A 20,731-nucleotide genomic window follows, 5' to 3' on the forward strand; every position below is an offset into this window, starting at 1 on the left:
GGGCTGGCACTACTAGGGGGGCAATGAGCTGCCAGGTATAATTAGACTAAGCCCCAGCAACAGGCTCTCTGCCCCATTCATGTCAGCACCCTCTTTCTGGCGTCTGCTTCTGGTCCCTATGCAGCACAGCTTTATCCAGTGACTGAACTGGAAGAGCCTCACAGCACAGAAGAGTCCTGTGGTTTGTTCCCCTTACTGTCATTACACTAGGAAAATTAATAATTATTAATAATGATTGATGACAACAGAAATAATAATAATGCAATCATAGCAATTGCTTTTTGAGTATATACTTTGTGGCAGATACTTGGCAAGGTATTTAACATACATAACCTCATCTAATCCACCCAACAAGCCTAGGGGGAAGGTAATATATCCTCATTTTCCAGATGATGATAATGAGATTCAGAGAACATTAAGTGATAAAAGCAGAAATTAGGCCAGATACAGTGGCTCACACTCATAATCCCAGCACTTTGGGAGGCCGAAGTGGGCAGATCACCTGAGGTTGGGAGTTCAAGACCAGCATGGTCAACACAGTGAAACCCCGTCTCTACTAAAAACACAAAAATTAGCCTGGCATGGTGGCAAGTGCTGGTAATCCAAGCTACTTGGGAGGCTGACGCATGAGAGTCACTTGAATCTGGGAGGCAGAGATTGCAGCGAGTCAAGATTGTGACACTGCACTCCAGCCTGGGTGACAGAGCAAGACTGTCTAAAAGAAAAAAAAAAAAAGCAGAAATGGAACTTAGGTTGTCTGGACTTCTAAGCACAGGTTCTTAACTGCTCTGTCCTGTGGATCTCCCCTCCCACCGGACACCAGCAACTTGATCTGCTTCTGAAATGTGTTGTCATTGTTCCAGGTTGGGAGTCAGTTCCAAGCTCTAGTCTAGGATTCTGAGAGCTGGATTCAGAGGATTCTAACCCACAACTAATGAGTCTTTATCATCCAGGTTGATGCAGCCTTGCATAAATGGTGGATATAGTAGGAGAAAGGTGAAAAGGAAAATTGGCCCCTGACCTTGGAAGGCATTAAAGGTGTTTGATGGAGACAGTGAAACAAACTGAGCTGGCCTCTGTTTTGATGTCTGTAGGTCTGAACACCCTTCTCCAAGCCTAACATTTGTAACAGGCTCCACGCATATGTACTCAGATCTAGCAAGCATTTATTGGGCCCCTGCTGGACAAAGTAGGCTACTACAGACACTATGCAAAATGAGGAAGAGTCCAAGTGATCACTTTCCAGGAGGGTCTAATCCCTGAGGCAGGAAGCAGTTTCCCCAAGTAATGCAAAAATGGTAGTCACTGCCTGAACTTCTAATGGCTGCAAACTGCTGCTTTGTGGCTTCTAAAGCAGGCAGGTGCGTTCGAGAGAGCAGGTGTCCTGATATCCCAACATTCAGCATCCACTATTTTCCCACATCTTCACATACAAAAAAAAAAATAATCCCTACATCTTTCTCCAGCTCCATCTATCCTTGAGGTAGGAACTAATTACCCCCTGTAACTTCAGGATGATCAGCATGATTTGGGGCAGACACGCACACAGAGGCTGATAAAGTCTTTTCTGATGTAAATCAGACAATTCCTTCCTAGATCAGAATGCCTTGTTTACTCATTAGTGGAGCTTTGGACACTAGCAGCAGACAGACTGGCTCCAGGGCATTTAAAAGGTCAAGAATCAGGAGCCCAGGAAGTCAGATCAACTGGGATTCAGACCAACAGAGCATCCAGGGGTAAGGGTGGTTTTCTAAATGCACCAACAGTGCACTTTGTCCTGGAAAAGAATGTGATCCAGCAGTCAGAGACAAGCCTCTCTAGGAAATGGCCTTTCTCTCCAGCCCAAGGTGGCTAATAACCCTTGGGTTCCTGTCTTCAACTGGAAGCCTTGCCTGAAATCACTTTGACCTTGAGGAAACCAAGACTGCCTTGGGGAAACTGAGCCAATAAAAAAAAGGAATCCTGTATAGTCTGGAACCCACTACAATCCACAAGAATGATCTCTTATTCCAACCAAATAGGATAGTAATGACTTAAACTAACAAGCAGGGACAATTTAGCTCACTTTTGTGCACCAGACATTCCTACTAAACACCCAACACGAATCCTTATTTAACACAACAGTCCTAAGAAGTACCTATGTTTGTCCTCATGTAATGGATGAGGCTCAAAGAGGTTAAATCATTCACTCAAAGTTATCCAGCTAGTTCAATGGTGGAGCTGAATTTGAACCCAGGTCTCTGCAAATCCAGGTTGGCCTAATCCACTCTGGTGGGAAGAAATAGCTGTTACCCAGCATTGGGGAGTTATAAAGGTGTTGGGGCAGTGAGCTTGGTGAAGCCCAGATTTGAGAGAAAGGATATATGTGTTTGTTGTTTGTTTTTCCCAGCACCATTCAGAAGAAAGAGTGCCCCGACAGGCTGAACCGGTTATATTGTGATGGACTTAGAGGATGGATGGATGACTCACCACCTGAAGGTTTTAAAGCTGGTAGAAAACACAAATAGAAACTTGTTGGCTAGCATCTTAGAAAAAAAAATCTCCCTGTTCTATAGACATAGAAACCACGCCACAGATGGAAAGTGTCCTGCCCGAATATGGACTTAGATTGCTGGGGTTTTTCCTGGTTTCCAGAACAATGCTTTTTCAAATAACAACAGCAGCAATAGTAGTAGTCCACATTTTACTCAGTGCTATGTGTCAGGCTCTGTCCTAGGTATTTTATGTACATTACGTTGTTCAATTTTCACAAAAGCCTCATGGGTAAGTTCCAAAGCTCCAAGAAGTTGAGTCAATTGCCTAAATCACACAATTAGAAAAAGGCAAGGATTAGATTTTAAAACAGAGACAGCCTGACTCCAAAATCTGAACTCGTAACTCCTAACCTGTACTTCCTCTTTAGAGTAACAGTCACTCAAGTGTTCAGCCAGAACACTAAGCAGAATGTTCCAGGTGAATGAGAGACTGCCTTCCTTTCATGAGCTAAACAGCTCATCAAAGAGACAGACACATACATAGGTAATTTAATACAGTGTAAACATGCTTTAATGGGGGAGGAAGCAAATAACAGTTTCAGTGAGTTGGACAAAGACCACCAAGAGATGTTCCATGAGCTGAGTTTCAAGGGATAAGTAGGTGGTGTTTGCTTAATGAAGAAGGGAAAAGCATTCCAACAGAGGGAACAGCAACGCATGAGGAGAGAGCTAGGAAGCATGATGTGTCTCTAGAGAAAAAGAAATTCTAATTGGCTAGGGTATTAAGTAGGAAACAGAAACAGATGAGGCTATGGAAAAAAACCCAAATGTTTATCAATAAGTAAATGGATTTTTTAAAGTTTTGTGATATAACTATAGAATCGAAGACTACCCTACAGAAAAAATAATACAAGCCACAATACGGATGAATCTCAAAAACATTATATTGTGTCAAAGAAACCAGACACAAAATAATATATACTGTATGATTCCATTTAAATGAAATTCTAGACAAAACACAACTACGTGATGGAAAGATGGGCGTGGTGGCTCACACCTGTAATCCCAGCACCTTGGGAGGCTGAGGCAGGCAGATCACCTGAGGTCAGGAGTTCAAGACCAGCCTGGCCAATATGGTGAAACATTGCTACTAAAAATACAAAAATTAGCTGGGCATGGTGGTACACACCTGTAATCCCAGCTACTCAGAAGACTGAGGCAGGAGAATTGCTTGAACCTGAGAGGCGGAGGTTGCAGTGAGCCGATATCATGCCACTGCACTCTAGCATGGGCAACAGAGTGAGACTCCACCAGAAAGAAAGAGAGAAAGAGAGAGAAAGAAAAGAAAGAGAGAGAGAGGAGTGATGGTGATAGTAATCAAAAACAGTGGTTTCCTCTGTGGGGCAGTGGTTGACCAGAAGGGAGAAGGAGGTGATGATACTTCGGGGTCATGGAAATGTTCCATATCTTGATTACAGTCATGGTTACATGGGGGTGTAAATTTGTCAAAACTCATAAAGTCAAACTTTTAGGATCTGTGCATTTTATTAAGTGTAAATTATGCCACAATTTCAAAAGAGAGAGAAGGAGAGAGGAGAGGAGACAGAGAAAAGAGAGGATAAAAAGTCTGATTTGGATCTAAGTCTGAAGGACTATGTAGCCTGGCTAAGGAAATCAGACTCTACAGGGCAGGAGAGAAGCTGTTGAGATGTTAGAGGGGTGATCTGACACAGCTTGATCTGAGGAAGATCACTCTGGACTCTAAAGGAAGATGGAGAACTAGGAAAAGACAAGGAGGACAATTAGAAGCATAGTACCCAGGAGCTGGGTACTATTCCGTTAGGGCAGTCGCCACAGAAAAATTTTTATAAAAGGGGTAGGAACATTTCAGCTTGCAGAATTTGGAATGTCTGGATGTCAACTATGATGTGGAAGGTAGGGGCAAGGGAAGGGTGTGGACAACTCTGAGGTTTCTGGGTGACCATGTAAATGCCCGTATCCTTAATAAAGATGGTAACTTTTATTTTAAGGGGGGCATGTTTAGGGACACAGGAGGGAGTTAGAGCAATTAGTTTAAGTTTATATATGGTGAGCTTGAAGTACTTTTGAGACATCCAGGAGTGAGGGGCAGATGAATAAGGACAGAAAAGAAATTGGGGACAGAGAGAAATGCAAGAAACAAGAGTAGTTATACAAGTTATAATTTGTATACAATGGCCAATTACACAAGTTGCCATTGATAACGTGCTTCCTATGTACTTCCTATCTCTTGATCCTCACAATGCCCCCTGAGGGAGATGTCCTTATAGAGGGCCACATAAGTTGCTCAAATCATCCAACTGGTAAGGGAGGAACCAAGATTCAAACTCAGGCCAACTAACCACAATGCTGAGAAAAAGATTCCTGACTACCATCCCACGAAGTGGATAGGAGCCCTCCAGGTGAGAATGTGCACTGAGCCTAGCCAAAGCTTCCATTGGCCCATAGCCCCAGAGTCAGGGTCTCCTGCCTCCTAGTGCAATTCAAATTAATAAAACCGGATTGAGAACCACAGACTTCAGGAAGCACCCAGTTTTAAAGAACAGGGTCTGCCCCTCCAGAGCTCACACACAAATTCCAGGCCATCTTTGGACTCACTGATTTGAAGAATCCTACATGCCATGAAGGGATTCCTCAAGGCTAAGTTTGGACTTGGTACCAAAATAGACTCACCTCTCACTATAAACCAATTCTGGGTCTATTGTGTATAATATAGTAGTCTTGTATAGGTAGCAGCAACCTGAATCTGTCCTGAAGACACAATTCCTCAACAACTCACTCAACAAGCATGTGTTAATTGCTAGCTACGTGCTAGGCATTGTGATAGGCACTGGCAAATACAAGTGTTTAAAAACATAGTGCTTAAAGTATCAACAAAGCAAGGGTACCATAAAACTGAGGGAAAAAAATATCTTTTAAAAATTTCATATTTTATGGCTGCATAGTATTCCATGGTGTTGAAGCTGGAAACCATCATTCTCAGCAAACTAACACAGGAACAGAAAACCAAACATTGCATGTTCTCACTCATAAGTGGGAGTTGAACAATGGGAACACATGGACACAGGGAGGGGAACATCACACACCAGGGCCTGTTGGGGGGATGGGGGGCAAGCGGAGGGATAGCATTAGGAGAAATACCTAATGTAGATGACGGGTTGATGGGTGCAGCAAACCACCATGGCACACGTATACCTATGTAACAAACCTGCACGTTCTGCACATGTATCCCAGAATTTAAAGTATAATTAAAAAAGAATTTTATATTTTATATCTACTGTAGTTATTAACAATGTATTGTATACTTAAAAATTGGTAAAAGTAGATTTTAAGATTTTAAGCATTCTCAGCACAAAAAAAAAAATGGTAAGTATGTGAGGTAATGCATACATTAATTAGCTTGATTTAGCCATTTCACAATGTATACATATTTCAAAGCATATTATATACCATAAATATTTTTTGTCAATTAAAAAAATAGAATATATTTATAAATGAGTTGTAATAGCAAAAAAAAAAAAGAAAGAAACTTAAAAAACAAGTAATTATCACAGTAAAAATCAGAATTTAAATGGCACCATACTATTCTCAGTAATATGAGTCTCTAAGGAAAGACATTGGTCTCTGCCTTTCTGGAACTGGGTGAAATATATGTTAGGGGAGATTTGAATATGGTAGAATTTTTGAGTTATACGTGTCTTGGTTCAAATCCCAGTTCTGCCACCTTCCGACTATGTGATCCTTAAATTATGAGTCTTAGTTTATTCATTTGTAAAATGTAGATAGAATCAACTTAGAGTTGTTATAGGGACTCATAAAGTAGTGTCAGGAAAGTGTATGGCGGAAGTCAATATAAATCAAATCTTACTATGAGACTTTCCTTCTCCTAGGCTGTATTAGTTATCTATCACTACATTAAAAAATCACCATGAACTTAGAACCTTAAAACAACACACATGTATTATCTCACAGTTTCAGCATTAGGAATCAGGCATCATTTGCCTGGGTTCCCTTTCTTAGATCTCTCATAAACCTGAAATCAAGACACTGGCCAGGGTTAAGGTCTCATCTGAAAGCTCAGTGGAGAAGATTGCACTTCCAAGCTCACTTATGTTGTTGGCAGGATTAATTTCCTTTGGGATATTAGACTGTGAGACTCAGTTCAAGCTGGCTGGTAGCCAGAAGCCACCCTCAGTTTCTTGTCACATGGGCATCCCCAACATGGCAACTAGCTTTACTAAAGCCAGCAAAGGAGAGAGTTTGCTAGCAAGACAGCAGTTCCAAGCTTATATGATGTAATCATGGAGGTAACATTCCATCTCCTTTTCCATATTCCACTGCCTAGAAGCAAGTCGCAGGTCCTGCCCACACTCAATAGCAGAGGATTTCACAAAAGTGTGAAGAGTGGGGTTGGGGGCCAATGGGGCCATCTTATATAGCCTGTCTACCACACTGGCTGACATTTCTCACTCCTTCAGCACAGTCCTCTACTATTGGCACATCAAAAAGGATGCACCTGCTTTTCAACCCAAAAGATCTGTGGCATTAAGGCCCCCACCAACATGGCAGTATAGGTTGGCCACCTGCTGAAAGGCATCTGCAAATCCAATGTCCTTGTCTTTGAACAAGACTGAATATAGGCGTATACCTGCCTTCTGAGATACACATAAGCTTCATGATCTAACTTGATGTGTGTCATCTCATCTAAAGGCAGATTAAACTTTGCTTACAGATACTTTCATAAAATGAAAGTGTCCTATTTGAGATTAGGCAGAATCACATAAAACTTAACACTTTTGAGACCAAGTTACATTTATTCATTCAGCAAATATTTAATGAATATTTACTTAGTGCCAGCACCACTCTGGAGATTGAGCATACTGTTGTAAACAGAACAGAGAAAGCCTTCATCCTGGAGCTCACATTCTATTGGAGGAGGGGTTAGGGAGAGACAGTAAAATAATTACACAGCATGTTTGGCAATGTTAATAATGTATCAAATGTGACTCCATTATAAAGTTTAAACATGAAATTTTAAATCCATGGTTTATTACCAAATATGAGAATTACTTTTAAAAGTTCATTGACAATCCCAGTAACTACTGCCTCAAACAGAACGAAGTTTCTCCAAATTGAAATTGTTTTAAACTATGAATATCTTAGTTGAGGTAGCAAGTACATGAGTATACACATTTGTCACAATGCACTAAAATGTTACATTTAGAATGTGTGCTTTTTATGGAATATATAATTTATACATCTAATAAGTTTATGAATTATACATCTAATAAAGCAAATAAAAATAGAAAAACAAATAAAAATTAATTTCAGAAAGAAACTACCTAAGAAGTACCATCCCTGAAGACAGATTTTCCCAGTTTGACATCATCATTGATAGATCACAAATTATCTGAAAATACTGATTATAACCATATAGTTAGCCATTGTGCTGTCATGAGAACAAGAAAATAGGTATTGCATTATGAATATACAGCAGTTTGTGAAATACATATGCCTTGAGTTTACTGCTTATGCAAACATCATTGGCCTGTAAACTGAACACCAAGTCTCATACAATAATTACATTCAGTCATCTTTGATATTTTGCTAAACTTCAGTTATATAGAAACCATATTATTACACAGAAAAATTGTATTTTGTTGTTTTCAGATGTTTATGTACACATTGGAGCTCAGGACATATTTTATTCAACAGTTTGTTAGTTTGCATTATAACATTTAAATTTTAGACAGTTAGTGTGTGGACTGCCCTGTATTCTCTTGCCTGGAGTCTCACCAATGTCAAAGATGGACCTGCCCAGTAGCTCTTCTTTCACCTTGAAGGTAACACAGGGCACCGGTTGAAAGCAAAGCCACAAGAATCACTAAGTTAAGTCCAGTTCTGTCCTGCACAGCTGTGTGTCCTGGGGCAAGGCACTCTCTGCTCAGAGCCTCACTTTCCCCACCTGTAAAATGGAGCTGATAGAAGATACTTTGTCGGGATACAGGGACATTGGTGGACGGTAAGTGAGAAAACAGCCTGTAACTAAGTTAGCCCTGATCCTGACAGACCATAAATCCTAAAAATAAATTATCTATCACTAGTGTTATGGTGGAAACAAAAAAACCCTCTGGCCCTTCTTTGTGCAGAATTCCTTTTGGGTGTTTATGGGAGGGCACGTCTGGGAGGCAAGGAATTTAGAGAGCTGGGAATGGCTATGGAATAAAAGGTGAGGCTGGAATACAAGGCAGAAGCAGCAGAGAGATCAGAGCTGAGGCTCTGGGAACTGGAGAGATGACCGTTAGTGGGTTAACCAGGGCTCAGCCCCACCATCCGTCAGAAGAGGCTGACTCCATTTGTGATTCATGGGGCCGGGGCCTGGGCCTGCCTGGGGGCTGAAGACGGCTGCATCACAGATGCTAGGGGCCACCAGTACTGCCCAGGAAGCTTGTAAAAATGCAGGTTCCCAGGACCCACCCCCAGAAATTCTGATTCAGCAGATCCCAGGATGGGGCCTAGGACCCTGATATTTTACAAGCATCTGTTTTCAGGGCAATTCCAAGGGTTCCTGCTCTTCTAGTATTATAAGTAAGCCATATTTATCTCACACTTTTTTTTTCTTTTTTCTTTCCTAAGACATAGGATCTTCCTCTGTCACCTGGGCTGGCATGCAGTGGCATGATCATAGCTCACTGTAACCTCAAACTTCTGGGCTCAAGCAATCCTCTGGCCTCAGCCTCTTGAGTAGCTGGGACTACAGGTGTGCACCACCATGTTGGCTAATTTTTATGTATTCATTTTTTTATGGATGGGGTCTCGCTATGTTGTCCAGGCTGGTCTCAAATTCCTGATCTCAAGGGATCCTCCTGCTTTGGCCTCTTGAGTAGCTGTGACTACAAGTGTGAGCCACCACATGAGGCTCATTTCACACTTTCGAATATGTACACCCTGTGATCAGTTAGAGCCCTCGGAATCGCTGCATCCACCCGGAAGGGGCAGGGATTCATAGGAGAGCCCCTTTTCACTGCTGGGTAGGATGAGGCTGTGCCCCAATATTGAAGGAGCACATTGAAACCCATCAGACCTAGAAATCAAGGTGCATCAGACAGCAGGAGATGGAAGTAGCTGAAACCACTAGGTCTGGGGCAGGGGTTGGCAATCTTTTCTGTAAAGAAGCAAATAGTAAATATCTTAGTCACTTCAGGCCAGCAATCTCTGTGGCAACCATTCAACTGTGTCACTGTGGCAAAACGCAGTCATGGGCATGGTTGCGTTCCAATAAAACTTCATTTACAAAAAACAGACAATAGGCCAGGTTTGGCCCCTGGGCCATAGGTTTGCCAATCCCTGATCTGGATTCAGATGGAAGGGTGGCGAAATCCCAGCTGTGTGTCCTTTCCTAAGTCACCTCACTTCTCTGAGCCTCAGTCTCCTTACATGCAAATTCAGAAAAATAATGGCACCAGCTTCACAGTGCTGCTGTAAGGACTGTTAAAGAGCTCAGCACCATTTCTGGAACTCAGCAAACCATGATAAAAGTCAGCAATTACTCATGTCTGATCCAGACTGCGGAGATTTCAACCATGATGCCATGGTCTGAATGTTTTTATCCCCCCAAAATTCATGTGTTGAAATATTAACCCCTAAAGTGATGGTATTAGGAGGTGAGGACTTTGGAACATGATTAGGTCATGAAGGTGGAACCCTCACGAATGAGATTAGTGCCTTTGTAAAAGAGGCCCCAGAGAGCTGCCTTGGCCCTTCTACCATGAGAAGACAACAAGAGGTGGCAGCCATGAACAAGGGAGCAGGCACCAAATCTATTGGTGCCTTGATCTTGGACTTCCCAGCCTCTAGAACTGTGAGAAATAAATGTTTGCTGTTTATAAGCCACTCAGTTTATAGTATTTTGTTATAACAGCCTTAATAGAATAAGACAAATGGCTCCACCCCTTGCAAGCTGGGTGACCTTGGGCATATGATGTAACCTTCCTGTCCCTCAATTTCTTTCTCATATCTAATGTAGGGATAATAATATTTGTGAGAACTAAATGAGACGAGAAATGCAAAGTACTTAGAAAAATGCATGTAAATGTGCTGAAAAGTTAGCTTGAATTATGTTTGCTATACTGTGATTATAAATTGTTATTTTATTATTATATTATACAATTCATCATACGGAAGGGATTGAACCAACAGAGTAAGGGAGAGAATCCCTTCTTCACCAGCAAAAATAAAAAATAAAAATAACAACAACAAAACAAGTACCATAAGGCCAGCCTTTCCCAAAGCCTCTTAAGACTTGAGCCTTTCGTCCAAGACATTAGCTGTAGAAATGTTTTTCTCTGCACCCACAAGGCAGCCCAGAGACATCAAACACAGAAACAAACTGAGCCGAAGCTGAATTGTGTTCATCTTCGTAGTGTAGTTTTGCCTCTGAATTCTTACTAAAGATGAAATACCACGTCTAGAACCTCCTTGGGAACTTTGAGACAAAGCCCTGTGACGGGGGATAAAAAACCGTCCTACTTTAACAAGCAGATGCTTTTTAGATGGTTTTAATCTTAGTTCTGCATTGGTTCCATCCTTTATTTAGTCTCCAAAATTTGCATCAGGCTGCCAAACACCAGTGATGCCTCCACAAATACATTATCTTCTTTTACTAATATCTATACTAGGTCTATTCAGATGGGTGTTCTCCCAACACGCACAGAAGCCAACACAATTAACTTTCCTTAAAGGAAATTCAATCACCTTTGCAGAAAACAGTTCTTGAGCTCCTTCTCTGGGTTGATACAGCAACACACACACAGAAGTCCAAACAGCACTAAAGTAATTAAAGCAGCTGGGATTGATCGGGGTTCTGAATGACCTTTTGGTAACTTACCTACGCCTGCCATTTAGAGAAAGAATAATTTATGATGCAAGTCAAAGTGCAGAAAACCAAAGCAGACAGAGAGAATTCTGATTAGCCTTGGAAGGGTGAACTGTCAAGGAAGCGCCCCCCGGAGCCCCTCATGAAAACAGGGAACAAAAGCAGTAAACGTCCAGGTTCGCCCAGACACAGGCGCCTGCGGTTCCTGGTGTGTGTCTGCTCCTCTGGCTCATAGAATCCAAGAATTTCAGGTTGGGAAGGCCTTAAAGGTCTAAGTGAGCCCACTCCTTTGACAAGTGAGGAAACTAAGGCTTAGAGGAGGGATTTATTCTAGGTCTCCTGCATGGCAAGTGGGAAGATTTTACCACTTCTTCGGGACAACTGTACTCAAACCAAAGGCAACTTCAACCCCTAAAATGCCCTTTATGTGTAAATTCCAAATAAATTTGCAATTAAAATTACAAAATAACTTTGTAGAATACAAGCCCCATGAGAGCATGGATTTTTTTTTTCTGTTTTGTTTACTACTGTAACCTGAGCAGCTAGAATAATTGCTGGCACCTAGGAGACACTCAATATATTTTTGTGCAATAAGATTTTAGAATTAATTATCCCTGAACTCAAGAGGTGCATGGGTCAATACAGAGCTGAATAGGTTCTGTACCCAAAATGGTACCCATTTGAGAGGCCAACTCATGAAAACAAAAGATTTAGATGCTCAATGTATTTTACTGGCACTAAAGATTAGTCCACCACAGCCTCTCAATGAACAGTCCCTGCGATATGGATGACCACTAGTAAAGTCTATGCACCTGGGAGAAATGACTATATGGTTGGGACTTCCTATAATGCATTCCTACAAGTTTGCTACCTTTTCTATGCTGTTACTTCCACCTTGGAAACCCTTCACTCATCTCTGAATCTTAACACTTCATCCACACTTTAAACCTCAGCTCCTCTGCAGCCTCCTCCAGGAAGCTCTTTGCTTTCTCCTAGACAGAAGCAATCCCTCCCCTCCTTAATCTAACTCCCACACAGCCTTTAAATGGCACTTTGTCAAGGGGGCCTTGCCTGACCCTCTGGATGAGGTTAGATTTTCCTACTCCCTATACTGTTACTTGCATAACACTAATTATACTTTATTTATTGCCTGTCTTCCCCCATGAAACAGTATGCTTCATGAAGTCAGAGACTACATCTGTTGTATTTTGCCATTGTATCCCAGCACCCAAGATAGTGTCTTGTCCACAAGACATGAATAAATGAATGGATGGACAAATGGATATATGGATGGACAGATGGATCAATTAATACATAATTGAATGAATTAATCAGTGAATCAGTTAATGGAACAAATAAATGAATAAATCCATTAATTAATGAACAAATCAGTGAATCAATGAACGAATCATGTATATGCTATTTACCCAATCTCTAATATGCTGTTGAATTTATTAATATTTCTCCAAGATAGAATAATACAGTGGTTGAAAGTGTGATTTCTACAGCCTGGCCAAATCTGGTCTCTCTGTACAGCCTGTGTGACCTTAGGCAAGCTACTTAACATCTCTCAACCTCAGTGAGAATGATCATACTGCCCATACTTTGTAGGACCGTAGGATTAAATGAGATAATATGTGTAAAGTGCTTTCTACAGTGGTCGGCACATAACAATTACTCAATGAATGTTAGCTTTCATTGCTCTGATGTTATCTTAGGGCAAGAATTGCCAAATTTATCTTGGTATAAGGCCCAGCATCTAGCACAGTACATGTATTGGGCTCCCCAAAAAATATCAAATAAATAAATGGATATTTTAAGCCTCTCTGCCAGGACACCTCAAAATTGTGGGAATGTCAAATTTGCTCATGTCATAAAGGAATCTAAAAAGACATGACAGCTAAATGCAATACCTGATGCTGGACTGGATCCTAGAGGAATGCTGGGTCCATTTGCAAAGCTGAACTATAAATGGTAGATGAAAGTATTGCATCAATGTTAAGTTATCTGCAGTAGATAACCACGATGTGCTTACATTAGAGGCTATCTGTACTCTTAGGAAATACATGGAAAAACATAGATATAAAAAGCCATATCATATGCAACAAAATTATATATAAAAAGACTTGCAAATTGTGACATGAATGTGAGAGCCACCTTGTATTACAGTTCTGGGTTTTCAAATAATAGTTGAAAAATCAAAAATAATAGCTAAAGATAATAACAGAAAAGCAATCTTGGGAACTAAAGTAGGGAATCGGCTGAGAAGCCTGCAGAGGAGACCAACACATGACTTCCATTGCTCCTTGATGGCAAACGTTACTAACGAATATGGCATCCTTTCTCAGTAAATCCAAACACAGCCTCAGAACCCTTCTCAACGCAGCTACTACCTACCAAACAAAGTTGTTCTTCTGGATGAAACAGCCGGATGTGACCCCTACCAGAGATTTTTCTGTTCCAGTTGGAGACACATTAAGATTCAAAGCCCTTCTAATGAAGGCATTTCAGCTCTTGGAACAACTAAGTAGATAGTCTTCAAACTACAGCTCAAAGATCTCTTTGATAATTTATCCCTACCAAAACTTAATATTGATTTTATTTTAGAGAAAGAAGGTGCTATGAGGTAGGAAGGGGTGTGTGTGTGTGTGTGTGTGTGTGTGTTTGAATACCAGCTCTGCCACCTTCCAACCTGAACACGTTGTCCTACATTCCTGCACCTCAATTTTCTCATCTGTGAAAAAGGGCTAACAACCCCCAGGCTTTTGTGAGAACCAGCAAAGTTCATGAATGTGAGCATCTTGTACCCTTTACAGATAAATTCTATGATTATTGTGATAATGATTATCAACATCATCATAATCATCATCTTTCCCTTTTTTCTTCTTTGCAATTACCCGCAGCTAATGGAGTCCTGCTTCTCTTTAGAGGTTGAAGAGCCATCTCTGCCCAGAACATTTCCAGCTTGGGTTTTTCAACAACCCACGGAGCTCTCCTGCCTTGAACTTGAATCATGCTGGAGTTTCGAGAGAGCAGTTACATGTCCATTTCCTTCAATTATCAGTGAAAGATAAAGTGCCCTGGCTCTCGGCCCCAGATGCCACCTGGCCTGGCCCATCTAGGGTTTCCATTATGAGCCAAGGTAGAAAAACCGGGCCTGCAGGTTTATTCTCTGTCCCTGGCCCTCTAACTAATAGGACTTCAGCCACTCTCTTGAGCATAAAGCTTTCTCTCCGGGCAAAGCCAACCAATTTGAATGGCACTCACGGCTCATGTCTGTATGTCATGAGCTCCTGAGTACTCCAAGGGGCCAGAGCAATAAATCTATTAGGTCTCCTTTGTCCCATCTTGTCGTGAACTTCTAAGAAAAAGGCACTAAGAGGATCAGTACCCAGAAAACCTTCATAATTGTGGCTTCTACACGGCGAATGAGGACAATTACCAAGGCAACCGGCCAATCATTCTGGTTAAGGGCAGAGAGAGTTTAGTCAAGAAGAGGCTCTTGCGAACTGTATTGCGCTGTAATCAGAGTAACCAACATTTTAAAAGGCCCTTGTGCAAAAACAGGAGGGATGGCAGGGAAGGGAAAAAGAAGAGGGGGGTAAATTAATTTCCTCTCATTTCCTGCCTGGTCCATTGATTGCGGTCCAAAGGCAAGATGATCTGCTGTACTCTTGCACCTGGGGCCACGGGAGCTGGCAGAGGAGCCGACAATGTTGTCTATCTTATGCCTGCATCTATTTATTTATCTTCCCCTCTAGGCTCAGCATCTGTAGCAGAGATCTCATGAAGAGTGAAAAAGTAAACATCTTTAAGGACAGTATAGAACCTCTTAAATTATCTTATAGTCCCTTGAGAAATAACAACACATCTGTCTTTATCCAGTCTTCCTTACCTTAGTTGCTGGTTTTGCCAGATCATTTTGTTACCCAAGTCATTTTGCTCATCAGAACGTCTCCTATGAAGTTATGTTGTAAATCAGGGTAATAAAAGGATAATTGGGGCATTGGGAGTACCCAAAACTCCAGACGCTTTTCCATTTTCAGGACTGTCAAGATTCTGGTTGCAGACTGAGTTAAGGATCCGCATCTTCCTCCTGGGCTGTACAAGGCTCCTGGGAGGGTTGATTATTTTGGTGAGCGTTTGTCTTTGATTCACAGGTCATAATCCTGTGTCTCTTGCCTTGGGTGCCAAGGACAGCAAAGCACTCAATAACCTGCCCTATGTTTGCTGAGCTTCCTGGTAGAATTAACAAAGCCATCCCGTAACACAGGAAGCTACCTTGTCCGTTAAGGAGTGCCATGTAACAGGAGGCATGAAAGGAGAGACATCCCCAACTGAAGAAATTCATCTATTCACTCAACCAACACAGGCCAGGTGCTATTCTTCTAACATCAGACAGGAAATGATTTCCTTGGTTCTTTCCGACTACAAGAGCCTATGATTCTAGTTACGTTGGGATAACAGTAATGACAAGAATATTAGTAGTAATAATGAGGGCAATAGCTACAAGTGTATCGAACATTCACTAAGTGCCAGGCCATGTATATGACCTCTCTGAAGCCTCTAGGATATTGTTGTATAATTCAGGGTCCCAGCAGGAGACAGTTGGCACACTCAAAGGGTTTAATTAAGGAGAGTTTAATAAACACAGGTGTGGACAGGGCTAAAGGAACCACCAAGAGATATTGAAATTCCTGAGGGCCAGTAAAAGTGGGGAGCTGTTACCACTCTTGGCCAAAGAAAATATTGTTCTTGGACCATGGGAGAGGAGCCACCCCAACAGGAGCTGAGGTCAGCGAGGAAGAGAGCGTGACCTAAAACCACATCCAGCAGGAAGGAGCTATGGAAATAGGCTATTCCAGGCTTCTCTTCTGCCCTCTAATCTCACCAGTGAGTCCGTCGGCCAATCCCAAAAGCAAGCCAGAGGCTGAGGGAACCTGGTGATCAAGTCTGTGCAGGTCAGCTCCCCAAAGCACAGAGTTAGGTGAGAAGGGTGGAGAGTTGTTATGGGGGGCAGGGAGGGGCACAGAGAGAACAGCCGGCACATCCATGTCCCCATTTCAAAGAGACAGGGAGTCCCGAGGCAGGAAAAACTAACCAAGGTCACCTCACTAGCAAGTGATGGCGTGAGAATTTCAGCGTGTATCTGCTAGACCCTGAAGCTGTATCTAGGATGGGACCCAAGGCTTATAGCCGGATGACACTGAGGAAACTAACAAGCATGTGAGGGGTGGGACAGTGGTTCTCAACTGTAGAGAGGGCCAGGGTCATGAGGGAGCTTTTTATTTTAAATTTATCTTAGGTTCTGGGGTACATGTGCAGGATGTGCAGGTTTGTTACATAGGTAAACGTGTGCCATAGTGGTTTGCTGCACCTGTGAGCATCAAGGGGAGCTTATTAAAATGCAGACTCCCCAGGCCCTATATGCAAAGATTCTGAGAGAAAGGGGTGGGTGTCCCCGTGGCTACTGAAAAGCTCAGGTCCCATCTAAAGGGGACTAGGTTCTGGCCGGGCGTGGTGGCTCACGCCTGTAATCCCAGCATTTTTGGAGGCTGAGGTGGGTGGATCACCTGATGTCAGGAGTTTGATACCAGCCTGGCCAACACAGCAAAACCCTGTCTCTACTAAAAATCCAAAAAAATTAGCTGGGCATGGTGGTGTGTGCCTCTAATCCCAGCTACTCGGGAGGCTAAGGCGGGAGAAATGCTTGGGCCCGGGAGGCAGAGTTGCAGTGAGCCGAGATTGCCCCATTGCACTCCAGCCTGGGTGACACAGTGAGACTAAAAAAAAAAAAAAAAAAAGAATAAAGGAGACTAGGTTCCATCTAAAGCCACTGCTCAGCAGCCAGGCACAGTGGCTCACGCCTGTAATCTTTGGGAGACCAAGACAGGCAGATCACAAGGTCAGGAGATCAAGACCATCCTTGCTAACACGGTGAAACCCCATCTCTACTAAAAATACAAAAAAGTTAGCCGGGCATGGTGGTGGGCACCTGTAGTCCCAGCTACTCGGGAGGCTGAGGCAGGAGAATGGTGTGAACCCGGGAGGCGGAGATAGAAGTGAGCAGAGATCGTGCCACTGCACTCCAGCCTGGGCAACAGCGCGAGACTCCGTCTCAGGAAAAAAAAAAAAAAAAAACCACTGCTCAGTTCCACCCACTTGTAACCCTGCAGATTTGAGAACCTAGTTTGTCAGCTCCTCCAATTTTCCAAGAGAACCCCAAAAAAATCCAGATTCTTAGGTAGAATCTTCCCCTTTTTAAATGAAGGCAACTAATTCAATGAGCAGCACCAAAATAAAACAAAGCAAAATCATCACGGTGGGGGCCACCCAAAGCATATCTGAAGGGCACCAGTGTGCAAGTGTGCAGTCTTCCTTGCAGAGAAAGCCATTCGGCATTGTCAGGCCCTGGGAGAACGTCCCAGCAAAGAAGTCGGAAGAAACCTAAGCTCCTGTCCTGGCTCTGCAGCTGGCCCCCTGTATGTCCTTGGGTAACTCCTGTCCCCTCTTGAGACCCCAGTCTCCTCAGCTGTCTACCTGAGGGAATTGGAAGTTGACAATCTCAAAGGCCCTTTTCCAGAACTTTCATGATTTGCATGCTTTTCCCTCAGAAGGAAAGCCATTCAGTTGTATAGTCATTTCTGAGAAATTTCCATCATGCCCTTCAAAAGCTGCTTGTCTCATTCGCTCCTACTGATAACGCATGCATGTCCCTTCTTAAAGGAGGAAAGAAGGTTAACCAAAGCCTATGGAATAGCTATTTCTATTTCTAAAATCCTCTAAGGACAATATAGAGTCTCTTAAAGAATCTTCTAGGGTTGGCCGGGTGCGGTGGCTCACGCCTGTAATCCCAGCACTTTGGGAGGCCAAGGCAGGTGGATCACCTGAGGTCAGCAGTTCGAGACCAGCCTAGCCAACATGGTGAAACCCTGTCTCTACTAAAAATACAAAAATTAGCCAGGCATGGTGGCGGGCACCTATAATCCCAGCTACTCAGGAGGCTGAGGCAGGAGAATCACTTGGACCCAAGAGGCGGAGGTTGCAGTGAGCTGAGATCGCGCCGTTGCACTTCAGCCTGGATGACAAGAGCGAGACTTCATCTCAAAAAAAAAAATCTAGGGTCAGTCATGATGGCTCACACCTGTAATCCCAGCACTTTGGAAGGCCAAGGTGGGAAGATCACTTGAGCCCAAGAGTTCGAGACCAGCTCTGGCAACATAGTGAAATCCCATCACTACAAAAATATTTAAAATTAGCCAGGCATGCTGGGGCACACGCCTGTGGTCCCAGCTACTCAGGAGGCTGAAGTGGAAAGATCACTTGAGCCCAGGAGGTTGAGGCTGCAGTGAGCCGTGATCACACTGCTGCACTCCAGCCTGGGTGACAGAGAGACTCTGTCTCAAAAAAAAAAAAAAAAAAAAAGAACCTTCTAGCCCCAGGAGAATAGAAATAATGGTGCCACCTTCTGAATCCAGCTGACATCACCTTATTTGCTGGTTTAGCCAGAACATTTCATTATCTAAGTCATTGTACTCATCAGAATGTGCCCTAAAAATTTATAGGAAGCATGTTGAAAATAAGGGTTATGTATGTAATTACTAATGTAACACTAACAATTTAATAAATAATGTGGTTATTAATGTAATACTAGTAATAACATAATAACTAATATCATCTCTCAATGTTGTTCAAAGTGTACAAAATTTCATTTGGGAGGAGTAAGTTCAAGATATCTGTTATTACACAACATGGTGACTGTAATTAACAACGTATTGTATTACCGAAAATCACTAAGAGAGCAGATTGTGTTTGCAGCACAAAATAATAAGTATGTGAGGTAATATACATGTTAATTTGCTCAAGTTAGCCATTCTACACTGCATACACATTTCAAAACATCGTGTTGTAAACCATAAATATATACAATTTTTGTCAATTAAAAAATAAATAATTTTTAAAATAACACTAACATGTAATATGACCAGATGATATTATGGCCAGAGGATTCAGGAATATTGGAATCCTGTCCCAGACCACATGAGGTCCCTGAGGGAATGATATGCGTGGATGGACATGTGGAAGGTGGTCATAGACTCCTGTCATGCTCAACTCAAGTTAACAGGGCTGGGCCACCTAGAAAGAACCTTTGGTTACAATAGCCTTAAGTCTATTGCAGACTCAAAGCCTTTTCTACTTGTTTCACTCCTTATACCCAAGTTCCAGAATCAAGGCCACTAAGGCAAGGATTCTTACGCCCCTCCCCTCCTGGGCCAACCCCACATCATTTCCCTCCTTTCCCATCTGGATCATCCCAACAGCCTTCTAATTGGGCCCCTTGTTCTTTTTCCTGAACTTTCTCTAAGGTTGTTAACTAATGCTTTACTTTCTGTTTTTAGATTTAACAAGTATATCACCCTTGAAACAAAAATAAAAGGCCAGGCATGGTGGCTCACACTTGTAATCTCAGCACTTTGGGAGACTGAGGCAGGAGGATTGCTTGAGGCCATGAGTTTGAAACCAGCCTGGGCAACATAGGGAGATGGTGTCTCTAAAAACAAAAATAAAAATAAAAATTATCCAGGCATGGTGGTGCACATATGTGGTTCCAGCTACTTGGGAGGCTGAGGTGAGAGGTTCACTTGAACCCAGGAGGTTGAGGCTGCAGTGAGCCAAGATTTAGCCACTGGACTCCAGCCTGAGTAACAGAGACTCTATCAAAAATAAGAAGAAGATGATCGCATACAAGGCAAGGAAATTATAATATATATGCCAAGAATGATCTAATTATTCAAGTTTCCATAACTTAAAAGGTAGAATGTTCTAGAGAGGAAGGGAGGTAAACATAAAACAGAGGAGGTTTGAGTGGAATTCACTATAAAGGGACTGTAGCTGGGCTACATTTCCTGGAGAATCTCTGCTTCTAAATGGCCTCCTTCTTTTCACGTTGGTCCCCTGCATTCATTTTCTACAAAGCTGCCAGGGAGGTCATCTTAAAATCTAATTTAGACCACGTCATCCCCTGCCTCAAGCCTTCCAGTGACTTCCCATCACATTTAGAAAAAAAATTCAAACTCTTTCAAGACCCTAGTAATCTAGACCAGGGATTGGCAAACTGTTTTCTGTAAAGGGCCAGATAGTACCTGTCTTCAGGTCTGTGGGTCACGCGGTGTCAGTGGCAGCTACTCAACTCTGCTGTTGCATCACAAAAACAGCCAAATACAATTCATAAATGAATGAACAGAGCGTTGTTCCAATAAAATTTTATTTTCAAAAACAGGTGGCAGGCTGGATTGACCCGAGGAGCACTGGTTTGCTGACCCCGATCCAGATTCTTGCTACT

General features: G+C 42.4%; 1 long non-coding RNA gene across 1 annotated transcript in view, besides 2 other annotated features; it reads right to left on the bottom strand.

Moving 5' to 3' along the window:
- LINC02463 (long intergenic non-protein coding RNA 2463) overlaps positions 1-15,571 on the bottom strand; it is an 80,288-nt gene extending 64,717 nt beyond the window's left edge. The window contains exon 1 of the long non-coding RNA XR_001749337.2: positions 15,284-15,571. This is a non-coding gene — a long non-coding RNA (long intergenic non-protein coding RNA 2463). The remainder of the gene's footprint in view (positions 1-15,283) is intronic.
- Positions 88-618: an enhancer, noted in NCBI's record as "H3K27ac-H3K4me1 hESC enhancer chr12:116308592-116309122 (GRCh37/hg19 assembly coordinates)". NCBI's record gives its function as "activates a minimal SCP1, AML or CMV promoter by ChIP-STARR-seq in naive H9 embryonic stem cells {active_cell/tissue: H9 hESC(naive)}" and the evidence as "EXISTENCE:reporter gene assay evidence [ECO:0000049][PMID:30033119]".
- Positions 619-1,147: an enhancer, noted in NCBI's record as "H3K27ac-H3K4me1 hESC enhancer chr12:116309123-116309651 (GRCh37/hg19 assembly coordinates)". NCBI's record gives its function as "activates a minimal SCP1, AML or CMV promoter by ChIP-STARR-seq in naive H9 embryonic stem cells {active_cell/tissue: H9 hESC(naive)}" and the evidence as "EXISTENCE:reporter gene assay evidence [ECO:0000049][PMID:30033119]".

The sequence above is a fragment of the Homo sapiens genome, chromosome 12, assembly GCF_000001405.40.
Source record: "Homo sapiens chromosome 12, GRCh38.p14 Primary Assembly".
Taxonomy (NCBI): domain Eukaryota; kingdom Metazoa; phylum Chordata; class Mammalia; order Primates; family Hominidae; genus Homo; species Homo sapiens.